The following is a 12,910-nucleotide window of genomic DNA, read 5'->3' on the forward strand; positions in this document are numbered from 1 at the left end:
AGGGAAAGCAGGTCTGAGACACAGGGAGGTGTAGGGATTTGGGGAACTCAGGGGAGGGAGGAGCCAGGGAAAGGAAGACCCTCAGGCACTCCTTACTGAGAGGGTCCCCCAAATAAGAACTTCTCGCCCCTGGCACCCTTTCCCGTTGTTTTTGCAGAATTTCTAGACCATTTATGTGTCCTTTGAAGACACACCCTAGGCAGGGTTTATAGGCTCAGCTGTGAGATGTTCTAAGAGTTAGACTTGGCTTCACCCTTCTCAGGTGTAGGACCTTGGGCTGAAAACTTATCTTCTTCTGGGTTCCAGTTTTCTTATCTACAAAATGAGGTTGAAAATAGTTCAATAGCCTGACATAGCACAGGCTCTCAATGGGAACTGCCCATCATTATTTTGTCACTATCCTTGACTCCTTCCTACCCTTGCCACCTCCACCCACTTCCAGGCCCTGCTGAGTTAAACTCTCTCTCTTTTTTTTTTTTTTTTTTTTTGAGATGGAGTCTTGCTCTGTTGCCCAGGCTAGAGTGCGGTGGTGCAATCTCAGCTCACTGCAACCTCCGCCTCCTGGGTTCCAGAGATTCTTCTGCCCCAGCCTCCCAAGTAGCTGGGATTACAGGTGCACACCACCACACCCAGCTAATTTTTGTAGTTTTAGTAAAGATGGGGTTTCACCATGTTGGCCAGGCTGGTCTGGAACTCCTGACCCCAAGTAATCCACCTGCCTCAGCCTCCCAAAGTGCTGGGATTACAGGGCCGAGCCACCGTGCCCAGCCAGATTTAACCTATCTTAACCAGGCCACTTTTCTGTTATCACACCCTCTGCCCCATTCAAGGGGCAGCAAAGCATAAATGCAAATTGCCTGGACTGCAGGGCCAGGCTGAGGGATTCAAATCCTGGCTCTGATACTTCCTGGCTGGGATGACCTTCCCCTCCACACTTCATTTTCCTCCTCTGTACAAGGATGATAGTAGCACCTCCTCTTAAAACATTGCTATGGGGATTAAATAAATTAATGCACATAAGGACAGTTTCCAGTGTATAATAAGTGCTAGCAATTAATACTGTAATTAATATATAACAATACCCTCACTGGTCTTCTGGCTTCTACTCTGCCTTCTTAAAATCATGGTTCTTGAAAATAGCTGTGGCCCTAGAGGTTGGGCGCGGTGGCTCACACCTGAAATCCCAGCACCATGGGAGGCCGAAGTGGGCGGATCACCTGAGGTCAGGAGTTTGAGACCAGCCTGGCCAACATGGTGAAACTCCATCTTTACCAAAAATACAAAAAAAAAAAAAAAAATTAGCCAGGCGTGGTGACGGGCACCTGTAATCCCAGCTACTCAGGACGTTGAAGCAGGAGAATCACTTGAACCTGGGAGGTGGAGGTTACAGTGGGCTGATATCTCGCCACTGCACACCAGCTTGGGTGACAGAGCAAGACTCCGTGCAAAAAAAGAAAGAGGTGGGCACAGTGGCTCACCCCTGTAATCCCAGCACTTTGGGAGGCCAAGACGGGTGGATCACGAGGTCAGGAGATCGAGACCAGCCTGGCCAACATGGTGAAACCCTGTCTCTACTAAAAATACAAAAATTAGCTGGGTGTTGTGGTGAACACCTGTAATCCCAGCTACTTGGGAGGCTGAAGCAGGAGAATCGCTTGAACTCGGGAGGCAGAGGTTGCAGTGAGCCAAGATTGCGCCACTGCACTCCAGCCTGGGGGACACAGCGAGATTCCATCTCAAAAAAAAGAGAGAGAGAGAGACCGAAGTGTCACTTCAAACTAATACAATGTGTGGAGCTCATTTAGATCTTAAGTCAAGCAAATCAAGTGTAATAAAAAGATATTTATGAGATATGATGTTTGACATTTAGCTTCAGAATCATTTGGGAAGAGTGGATGGGGGGTAAATCAAACAATACTGGTCATGAGTGAATAATTATTTTAAAAACTTTTTTTTTAAAGATACGGGGTATCACTCTGTTGCGCAGGCTGGAATGCAGTAACACAATCATAGCTCATTGCAGACATGAACTCCTGGGTGAGTCCCCACTCCCTACCCCCGTGAAATAGCTGGGACTACAGGCTGCCATTAAGCCAGACTTTTTTTTTTTTTTTTTTTTTTTTTTTAAGATGGGGAGGTGTCTCACTATGTTGCCTAGGCTGGGATTTTTGTTTGTTTGGGTTTTTGGTTTTTTTGTTTTTTTGAGACGGAGTCTCACTCTGTTGCCCAGGCTGGAGTGCAGTGGCTTGATCTTGGCTCACTGCAACCTCTGCCTCCCAGGTTCAAGCCATCCTCCCACCTCAGCCTCCGGAGTAGCTGAGATTACAAGCGTGTGCCACCATGCCTGACTAATTTTTGTATTTTTAGTAGAGACGGGTTTTCACCATGTTGGCCAGGCTGGTCTCGAACTCCTGACGTCAGGTGATCCGTCCACCTCCGCCTCCCAAAGTGCTGGGATTACAGGCGTGAGCCACCGTGCCTAGCCCCCGTCTAGTTTGGAAATCCTGGGCTCAAGTGATTCGCCCGCCTCTGCCTCCCAGAGTGCTGGGATTACAGGCATGAGACAGGGAGCCCGGCCTAGGCACTTTCTAGTCTAAACACTTTCCATTGATTATCATATTTAATCCTAAAAACGCTCCATTTTATAGATGAGGAAACAGGCCTAGAAAGAGAGCTAGAAAGGGTCACACGGCTAGAAAGTGGCACAGCCGTATTCCAAACCAGTTACCCAGGCAATCTGGCTCCAGAGTCCAAATAACCCCGCCAAACTCCCAGGGATCGCCAGACCTTGCGGGTTATCGGACTGAGACCCACCCATGCAGAGGACTTTTATGGGCATTTCCTGGTCCTTTCTGCACCAGGCAGGAAGGTGCACCGCCACTGCTCGGGAAGAATGCTAAGCTGCATGCCACCCCAGGCCTGGCACCAAGAGCATGGGCCAGGGCACCTCGGGACCACCCAGGCTTCCGAGGGGGAAGGTAGATGGGTGCGTGGCTGAGAATCTTGAATCACCCAATAGCGAGGTGTGCCAAGGCGCTGTGCAAATAACGTGCCTTTTATTGGGCACTGGCTCTCTTTGAGCCCGGAGTCCCGCCCCCGCCCTCTCTCGAAGAACTGGCCAGACTTTTTGCAAACGCCTTGAAGGGTAGAATTAGCAGCGAGCTCTTGAAACTGCCTCTGGAGATGGAACTCAGCGGAATTCTCGAAAAGAAGAGGGACATTAAAAAGACGGGTGCATGCACTGATTTCCAAGCGCAGTTTGTCCATGTTAGTCTTGTACATGCTTGACTCCAGTCAGCCACCGTAGGCCCCGCCACCGGCGGTGCACTTTCTGTCGATACGGTAGCTTCGCGCTTGCTCACGAACTTGCCTGCCTGGCTGGCGCACCCAGCCCCTCCTTCCATTCCTTCTTCCCCCTCTCTGCAGCCTCTGCCAGCCCGCACTGCGCATGCTTTCTGACGCCCCCTTTGGTCCAGCGTGGGAGGAGGGGATGGAAATGAGGTTGGGCTAAGCAGCTTGCGCGCGCTCCCTTGCCTGCCCTCCCCCGACGCCGGACGCGCGCCGGGCGGGGCAGCTCCGCTGGTCCGAGGGCAGTGCAGCAGCGGCGACAGCGGCTGCGGCCGTGGCCGTGGCGGGAGGAGCCGGAAGCCCCGCCCCCGGGGAGGGGCCGTCCTGCAGGTGAGGGCGCAGGGGTTCGGGCGCGGATATTGGCTTGCAGGCTGAATGCCAGAATCACCCCGAGGGAGATCGGTTGTGGTCCGGACGCCTAGATTCTGGAGATGCTGGAGGGACTGTGCATTGGTGCCAGAGCCTCGGGAGGGTGCATCGGTGCCTGAATGTCTGATTCCGAGGGGTGCATTGAATCCTTTACGCTTGGGACTCTGAGGGAAAAGTCCATTAGGGGTCTCTGGACCGCGACGCATGCCAGGTTCCTTCCGTATCTTCCTCCAGGTCCCCCCTCTATCCTCCACGGCCCCATCCAAGCCAGGGATGAAATTTAACGGCAAGAAGGGCGCAGTTGACGCGGCGTCAATGAACTGAGACTAAGTCAAAAGCCGGGTAAAGCTAGGTCTTCGACGTGAAGCCCCGCCCACTGTGCCCATAGGCCCCTCCCCTGGGACGGTGATGAAAGACCTGCCCACTCCGCTCGAAGGCCCCCGCCCCCTGGGTCTAGTTTCAGAACAAGACTTTTTTTGTACAGCCCCGCCCATTCCAGGACTGCAGGGTCTGGTGGGGAAGGTCCCGCCCACTCTGCGCATAGGCCCCGCCGGCTCCGCGCTTAAGACGGCCGCTGAGTTAGTTGTGGAGACTCCGCCCACTCTGCTGAAAGACTCCAACCCTGGGTTTAGATAGCGAAGGGACTGCCTCTGGCTTGAATTTGCATAGCCCCGCTCACTGTGCTCTTAGGCTCCGCCTCCCCGCTAAGCCTGCCCCCGCCTTAGCATCCCATACTTGCAGACCTTGCTCCTAAACAGTGTGATCCCTCATTTTAGGCCCTCCAACCCTATCCCCATCAGCCTGGTCATCACCGGCGTCACCCCCGCCCCGCGCCCTGCCCCTAGGTTCCTGTGCCAGCAAGATGCTGGAGCGAGGCGCGGAGTCCGCGGCCGGGGCTACCGATCCTAGTCCCACTGGCAAGGAACCAGTGACCAAAGAAGGTGAGAGTGCCCCGCCTGTGAGTAGGGAGCATTCTCCAGGAACGGGGGCCAAAATAATCACATTCTGGGGGAATCTCAGGGTGAAAATTTGAGGGCCCTAGGGTGATGACTATTTGGGATCCCCAAAACTGCCACATTCTGGGAAATCCTCCCATTTGGCTCAGAGAGAGCCTCAGTGACCATTTGCTAAGGCTCAGGAAATGAGCCTTACAGAAGGGACGGGTCAGGGATGACATGCGGGATGTCAGGGTGATCACTGGGAAGATACTAGAAACGGATACCTTGGTAGCTTTGAGGAAGCCTTAGTAGCTTTGGGGATCCAGGAAAGTAACCCTTTGGAGTCCCTCAGAATGACGCCTGGGGGGAGGGGGGAGCAGAAACATGCAATTTGGGGAGTCTCAATGTGATGCTTGAGGTGCCCAGGTACACTTGGAGGAGCCCCACGAATATCAAAGTCGTGGCGGAGCCTGGCCTAGGCCCAGGGCGTTGGCTGCTTCCTGGAGCCCACCAGCCCTCCTGTCCCCCAGCTCCCCACCAGGGCCCACCGCAGAAGCCCAGCCAGTCAGCTCCAGGGCCCACCGCGTCCGCGGGCTCGCCTCCCCGGCCTCGCCGGCGGCCCCCGCCCCAGCGCCCGCACCGCTGCCCCGACTGTGACAAGGCCTTCTCGTACCCGTCCAAGCTGGCCACGCACCGCTTAGCACACGGAGGCGCCCGACCCCACCCATGCCCAGACTGCCCCAAGGCCTTCTCCTACCCCTCCAAGCTGGCAGCCCACCGCCTCACGCACAGCGGCGCCCGCCCGCACCCGTGCCCACACTGCCCGAAGTCCTTTGGCCACCGCTCCAAGCTGGCGGCTCACCTCTGGACCCACGCACCCACCCGCCCCTACCCGTGCCCCGACTGCCCCAAGTCCTTCTGCTACCCTTCCAAGCTGGCGGCCCACCGCCACACGCACCACGCCACCGACGCCCGCCCCTATCCTTGCCCGCATTGCCCCAAGGCTTTCTCATTTCCCTCCAAGCTGGCCGCCCATCGCCTATGTCACGACCCCCCAACCGCGCCCGGCAGCCAGGCGACTGCCTGGCACCGATGCTCCAGCTGCGGCCAGGCCTTTGGCCAGAGACGCTTACTGCTCCTTCATCAACGCAGCCACCACCAGGTGGAGCACAAGGGGGAGAGAGACTGAGCCCTCCCTTGGCTCACTGTCCCCTTCTGCCGCCAGCCCTAGCCAGTAAGAGGTGGGATTTCTAAGACCGACTGTATGAGCTCGCCTCTTCCAGATAGCTGGCAGAGGGCAGGGCAAGGGATTGGCCATTTATACTGGGCTCGAGCTCAGAAGCCCGAGGAACTCTTTGCTCCCCTGCTTTGGGGAGATCTCAAACCATGGACGTGGAGCTGTGGTTTGACAGCGCTGGCTCTGCTTCTCCCCACACACTTACATGGCAAAGGTAAAAAGTCTGCTACTATCGTGGGTTGATGAGGATTGTGGGCAAACAGGCTCTCTTGTTAAAAGTTTAAACTGGTGTCTCCACTTTGGCCATATGACGGTATCTAAGAAATTGAAAATACATACATGCTTGTCTCAACTCTTCCACTTGTAGGAATTTATTCTATAAACTCATGAATGTGAAAAAAAAGCATAGTGTTAAGGGTGTTCACTGCAGTGCGACTGTTGTGGCCAAAGACTGGAAGCAACTCAAGTGCCCAAGAACAGGGGACCGACTATTGAATTACAGCCATGGAATGGAATAGGTAGCCATAGGAAAAAAGGAAGCGCTATATGTACTGATGTGGAAAAATCTCCGATACACTAGGTGATAAGAGCAAGAACAAAGGGTATATACCACTGACCATTTAAAGACATTCAAAAGCCCAAGCTTCAGGCTGGGTGTGGTGGTTCACGCCTATAATGCCAGCACTTTGGTTAGCTTGAGGCCAGTTCAAGAGCAGTCTGGGCAACATAGCGAGACACCATCTCTACCAAAAAAAAAAAAAAAGCTGGCTGTGGTGGCATGTACCTTAGTCCCAGCTACTTGGGAGACTGAGGAAGGTGGATCACTTGAGCTGGCAGGTCAAGGCTGCCATGAGCTGTGATGGTGCCACTGCCTTCCAGTCTGGGTGACAGAGCGAGACCCCATCTCAAAAAGAAAAACAAAAAAAGCCCAAGATTCAGACCCATCCCTGACCCACTTCTTACAAGTTGCCAGGCCTTGGACAAGCTTTGTCACTCCTCTGGATTCAGATGCCTTTGTTGTAAAATGGGTGGGTTATAAGGCATTTGTAAGGGGCAAGCAACACCTCAGGCAAAGTCAGTTCCCCTTATGGAGCCTGTTTCTCTCATTATAAAATAAGGATGAACAAGCTAACATTGGAATGTTCTTCATTCCACAAATACTAAGCACCTCCTGTGTGCTGGTCCCTGCATGGGGTGTTGGGGACACAGCATTGAAGACAGACCTTGTCTAGTGAGGAAAGTGAACACTAATTTTAAAAAGCAGCAGCAGACCAGGCAGAGTGGCTCAGGCCTGTAATCCCAGCACTTTGGGAGGCTGAGGCAGGCGGATAACTTGAGGTCAGGAGTTCAAAACCAGCCTGGTCAGCATGGCGAAACTCCATCTCTACTAAAAATACAAAAACTAGCTGGACATGGTGGCATGCACCTGTAATCCCAGCTACTTGGGAGGCTGAGGTATGAGAATCGCTTGGACGCGGGAGACGAGGTTGCAGTGAGCCAAGGTTGCACCACTGCACTCCAGCCTGGGCGACAGAGAGCCTGCCTCAAAAAAAAAAAAAAAAGCAGCAGCAGCCAAGTCATTCATTCATCCATGTGTGTATGTATGTAGAGACAGGGTCTATGTTGCCCAGGCTAGTCTGAACTTCTGGACTCCCACTTTGGCCTCCCAAAGTGCTAGGATTACAGGCATGAGCCACCATGCCCGGCCCCAAGTCCATTTAGAAGAACAAGTAGGAGAGCCTTGGCTCCCCACCCCCTCAACCCAGATACAAGATTACAAAGCTGTGCAGTAATGAAATTGGTGGTGGTGGCTTGAAAACGGGCCAGTGGAAGACAATTGAGAGCTCAGAAACAGACCTGTGCTTATGCTGACATATGACAAACTGGACCTGTAGACCTGGGAGTGGCAACCTTTTTCTATAAAGGGCCAAAGAGTACAGATGTCCCCTGACTTAACAATGGTTTGATTTCAGGATTCTCCAACTTTATGATGGGTTCATCCGGATGTAGCATCATTGTAAGTCAAAGGGCATTGGGTTTTTTTTGTTTTGTTTTGTTTTGTTTTGTTTTTTAGACAGGGTCTTGCTCTGTTGTCCAGGCTGGAGTGCAGTGGCACAATCGCAGCTCATTGCCCTGAATTCCTGGGCGCAAGCGATCCTCCTACCTCAGCCTCCCAAGTAGCTGGGACTACAGGCAAGCACCACCACACCCGGCTTATTTATTTTTGAGATGGAGTCTTGCTTTGTTGTCCAGGCTGGAATGCAGTGGCATGATCGCCGCTCACTGCAACCTACCTCTGCCTCCTGGGCTCAAGCTTCTCCTACCTCAGCCTCCTGAGTAGCTGGGATTTCAGGTGTGCACCACCATGCCCAGCTAATTTTTGTATTTTTAGTAGAGATGGGGTTTCACCATGTTGACCAGGCTGGTCTAACTCCTGACCTCAAGTGGTCCACCTGCCTTGGCCTCCCAAAGTGCTGGAATTACAGACGTGAGTCACTGCGCCCAGCCCCCAGCTAAATTTTTTTTGTAAATTTTTTTGTAGAGATGGGGTCTCACTATGTTGCCCAGGCTGGTCTCAATCTCCTAGCCTCAAGTGATCTTCCTGTCTTGGCCTCCCAATGTCCTGGGATTCCAGGCGTGGGCCGCCAAGCCCAGCTGCATCTGTTATATGTTTAAGTTTTGCAGGCCATACAGTGTCTTCCACAACTATTCCACTCTGCCACTGTAGCAGGAAAGCAGCCACACACATTACAATACATAAATGAATGAGCATGGCTGTGTTCCAATAAACATTTACCAAAACACTAGGTAGGCTGGATTTTGCCTATGGGCTATAGTTTGTTGAGCCTTGACATGGATGAGTGGAGGATGGACAGACTAATCATAAATAAGGCTAAGAGACATGGGGAAAAATTAAGTTGAATCCCCTGGTATGTAGAAGAATGATCCCCCAAAGATATCCACATTTGAATCCCCAGAACCTGTATGTTAGCTTGCATGTAGCAAAAGGGACATTGCAGATGTGATTGAGATGGGTAAGTTATCCTGATTATTCAGATAGGCCCAATATAATCACAAAGGTCCTTATATGGGAAAGAAGGACGCAGAAGACAGAGAGAGGTGATCATGAAAGCAAACATTCGAGTGATGAAAGGCCCCAAGTCAAGGAATTTTGCCTACAAAGGGCAAGGAAATAAATTCCTCCTTAGAGCCTCCAGAAGGATTGCAGCCCTGCTGACACTTGATTTTAGCCCAATAAGGCTGATTTTGGACTACTGACCTCCAGAACTATAATAAAATTAACTTGTGTAGTTTAAAACCACTAAGCTTATGGCAATTTGTTACAGCAACAATGGGAAACTACTGCAGATCCCTACCTCACACCATATGCAAAAACAAGTTTCTGGGAGTTTAAGATCTAAATCTGAAGAGAAGAACTCAAAAATATTTACATGGAAATAAGAAGAATTATCTTAGTAACTCCAGAAGTAGAGACAGTATCCTTAAGAGACAAAAGAATGTAAATCATAGATGAAAACATGGGTAAATGTGACCATAAATGAATGTAAAGTTATGACTAGGATGGATGAGATATAGTATTTTAAGAGTGTGTACCTGGCATATCCTATTATACAGTGGAGGTTAGGAAAGGCCTTGTTGAGGATGTAATGTCTGAACTGAGATCTGAAAGTTGTGGTGGAAGGAGTGAGAGAGTAGAAAGTGTCCATAGATTGGATAAAGAAAATTTGGTACATATACACCACGGAATACTATGCAGCCATAAAATGGAATGAGATCACATCTTTTGCAGGGACATGGATGGAGCTGGAAGCCATTATCCTCAGCAAACTAACGCAGGAACAGAAAATCAAACACTGCATGTTCTCACTTATAAGTTGGAGCTGAATGATGAGAACACATGGACATGGCCGGGCATGGTGCCTCACGCCTGTAATCCCAGCACTTTGGGAGGTGGAGGCGGGCATATCACCTGAGGTCAGTTCAAAACCAGCCTGGCCAACGTGGCAAAACCCCCCTCTACTAAAAAACAAAAATTAGCTGGGCGTGGTGGCAAACGCCTGTAATCCCAGCTACTCGGGAGGCTGAGGCACAAGAATCCCTTGAACCCAGGAGGCAGAGGTTGCAGTGAGCCAAGATCATGCCACTGCACTCCAGCCTGGGCGACAGAGTGAGACTCTGCCTCAGAAAAAAAAAAAAGAACACATCAGGGGAACAACACACACTGGGGCCTGTCAGGGGGTGGGGGTGGGGGGCTAGGAAGAGCATCAGGAAGTATACCTAATGCACGCTGGGGTTAATACTCAGGTGATGGGATGATCTGTGCAGCAAACCACCATGGCATGTATTTACCTATGAAACAAAACTGCACATCCTGCACATGTACCCCCGAACTTAAAATAAAAGTAGGAGAAAAGAAAGTGTCCAGCCTAAGGGCTAGGACTGAGCAGGCTGCTGAACTGCACTCTACTCAGTAAGGCATTTCGGGGAAGGTTTTGGGAGGGGTAAGGGTTCTACTCTGTCCTCCCAACCCAGCAGTGCTGCTTGTATCCACGTTTATGCAGAGAACTGTCCGGAAGAATTTCTCCAAAGCAACCACACCAGCAGCAAAATTTCAAAGACACATACTCATGTGAGAGGGCGTTGATCTGGTCCAACCTTACTTTTACAGATTGGGGAAATGAGGCCAGGAAAGATGAGATTTATTGGCAACCAAACCACAGGGCAGTACCTGAGTCTAGGTGGATCCTAGGTCTCTTGATAGCCTGACACCCACCCAGCTGTTCCTTGAACACATAATGCTCGCTCCTGCCTCGGGGCCTTTGCACTTGCTTTTCCTCTACCTGGAAGGGCTCTCTCAGATACTCCTTACTTCTCCCAGGTCCCTGCAGAGGGGTAAGTCCTCCAAGAGGCCATCCCCAATCATCCTATCTATAAACTACCAGGACCCTGCCATTGCTCTGTCACTCACAATGCTCTATTTTCCTTGCTCTCACAGCATTTCCCACTGTCCAAGGTTGCATTGCACGTGCACCATCTCTCTCCCCCTGTACAATGTCAGGCCAATGAGATCGGGGACTACTGTTTTTTTCATACTGTCTTCCCAGTGTCCCCCACATGGTGGCTTTGGTAGGCAGAGTAATGGCCTCCCAAAGATGTTCACATCCCAGCTGGGCACAGTGGCTCACGCCTGTAATCCAGCACTTTGAATGGCTGAGGCGAGTGGGTCACCTGAAGTCAGGAGTTCGAGACCTGCCTGGCCAACATGGCGAAACCCCGTCTCTACTAAAAATACAAAAATTAGCTGGGCATGATGGCAGGCGCCTGGAATCCCAGGTACTCGGGTGGCTAAGGCAGAGAATTGCTTGAACCTGGGAGGCAGAGGTTGCAGTGAGCCAAGAACACACCACTGCACTCCAGCCTGCGTGATAGAGCAAGACTCCGTCTCAAAAACAAAAAAACAGGGAGATTATCCCAAATGATCTAGGTAGGCTTAATGTAATCACAAAGATCTCTTGTTGCCCAGGCTGAAGTGCAATGGCATGATCTCAGCTCACTGCAACCTCCGCCGCCCGGGTTCAAGCGATTCTCCTGCCTCAGCCTCCCACGTAGCTGGGATTACAGGCATATGCCACCACATCCGGCTCATTTTGTATTTTTAGTAGAGATGGAGTTTCTCCATGTTGGTCAGGCTGGTCTCAAACTCCCAACCTCAGGTGATCCACCCCCCTCGGCCTCCCAAAGTGCTGGGATTACAGGCGTGAGCCCCTGCGCCTGGCCTACAATAACAAAGATCTTTACATGTGGAAGTATGGAACAGAAGAGTCAAGGTCAGGGTGATGGGATGTGAGAAGGACTCAACAGGCCATTGCAGGCCTGGAATATAGAAGGTGAATGGAATGTGGGTGGCTTCTAGAAGCTGGAAAAGACAAGAAAACAGATTCTCCCCTCAAGCCTCCAGAAGGAACGCAGCCCTGCCTACCTTGATTTTTAGCCCAAGGATACCCATTTTGGACTTCAGACCTCCAAACCTGTAAGATCATAAATTTCTATTATTTTAAGCCACTGAGCTTGTGATAATTTGTTATAGCAGTAGTACAAAACTAACATGGTGAGTTATCGGTGGGAGTGTGAATGAGCAAACGAATGAGTGAACATGAAGTCTAAAGCCACCCTTAGCTGGGCAGTGTGGCTCAACACCTGTAATCCCAGCACTTTAGGAGGCCAAGGCGGGAAGACTGCTTGAGGCCAGAAGTTCGAGGCCAGCCTGGGCAACATAGTGAGAGCCCATCTCTACAAAAAATAGAAAATTTATCAGGTGTGGTGGTACATGCCTATAGTCCCAGCTGCTCAGGAGGCTGAAGCAGGAGGATCGCTTGGGCCCAGGAGTTCGAGGCTGGAGTGAACAATGATTGCACCACTGCACTTCAGCCTGGGCAACAGAGCAAGACCCTGTCTCTAATAATAATAATAATAATAATAATAATAATAATAATAATAAACCACCCTCATCTTAAAGATGCAAAAACAAAGGTCCAGAAAGAGACAGGAGTGAGACTGGTAGCCCTTGGTTGATGAGGCAAAAGTTGGGAAAGGGCTTGGAATGTCCAATAAAAGGTTACCCAAAGGTCAGATCTCAAACCTACCTCTGACCCTGGCCTCTGTCCTGCTCAAACCCCCTCCCAACCTTCCCACCCTCAGATTAAAGTCCAGGCTTCTCAGCCTGGAGTTCGCAGACCTTCAGGCCAGCCCTGTCCAAAAGACCTTTCTAGACTGATGCAAATGTTCTCTGTACTGCCTAATACAATAGCCACTGAGCAATTGAAATGCATGGCCAGTGTGACTATGGAAGTGAAGTTTACATTTCATTTCATTTCATTTTAATTAATTTAAATAGCCACCTGTACCCAGTGGTGATCACACTGGACAGCAGAGCTGCAAGGACTGTGCCTGGCTTTCTAAATCTGCCCCCAAAGCCTCTTTGCCAAAGGCAGCAATG

General features: G+C 51.1%; 1 protein-coding gene across 4 annotated transcripts, besides 2 other annotated features; it reads left to right on the forward strand.

Moving 5' to 3' along the window:
• On the forward strand, positions 992-6,244 carry ZNF575 (zinc finger protein 575). Of its 4 annotated transcripts, none has more exons than XM_011526793.4 (4): positions 992-2,037; positions 3,952-4,059; positions 4,494-4,658; positions 5,186-6,244. In XM_011526793.4, exons 3-4 carry the CDS (start codon positions 4,580-4,582, stop codon positions 5,842-5,844), a joined length of 738 nt encoding a protein of 245 aa, XP_011525095.1. In that variant the 5' UTR covers positions 992-2,037; positions 3,952-4,059; positions 4,494-4,579; the 3' UTR covers positions 5,845-6,244. The 4 variants fall into 4 exon arrangements, with proteins under 4 accessions (XP_011525095.1, NP_777605.1, NP_001381166.1 ...); NM_174945.3 differs by lacking the exon at positions 992-2,037 and adding an exon at positions 3,345-3,678; NM_001394237.1 differs by lacking the exon at positions 992-2,037 and adding an exon at positions 3,345-3,678 and having other exon boundaries at positions 4,563-4,658.
• Positions 1,312-1,483: a silencer, noted in NCBI's record as "fragment chr19:44035307-44035478 (GRCh37/hg19 assembly coordinates)". NCBI's record gives its function as "represses an EF-1alpha promoter that drives an FKBP-Casp9 reporter gene in an ReSE screen in K562 erythroleukemia cells {active_cell/tissue: K562}" and the evidence as "EXISTENCE:reporter gene assay evidence [ECO:0000049][PMID:32094911]".
• Positions 3,451-3,760: a silencer, noted in NCBI's record as "silent region_10722". NCBI's record gives its function as "represses an Ori minimal core promoter by ATAC-STARR-seq in GM12878 lymphoblastoid cells {active_cell/tissue: GM12878}" and the evidence as "EXISTENCE:reporter gene assay evidence [ECO:0000049][PMID:35858748]".

The sequence above is a fragment of the Homo sapiens genome, chromosome 19 (assembly GCF_000001405.40).
Source record: "Homo sapiens chromosome 19, GRCh38.p14 Primary Assembly".
Classification (NCBI taxonomy): domain Eukaryota; kingdom Metazoa; phylum Chordata; class Mammalia; order Primates; family Hominidae; genus Homo; species Homo sapiens.

Bases quoted from the DNA above. Each gene is read 5' to 3' on its own strand.
- ZNF575 (XM_011526793.4), top strand. From the start codon at position 4,580: ATGCTGGAGCGAGGCGCGGAGTCCGCGGCCGGGGCTACCGATCCTAGT. The intron at 4,659-5,185 runs GTGAGAGTGCCC...CCTGTCCCCCAG, and splicing joins GGAACCAGTGACCAAAGAAG to CTCCCCACCAGGGCCCACCG.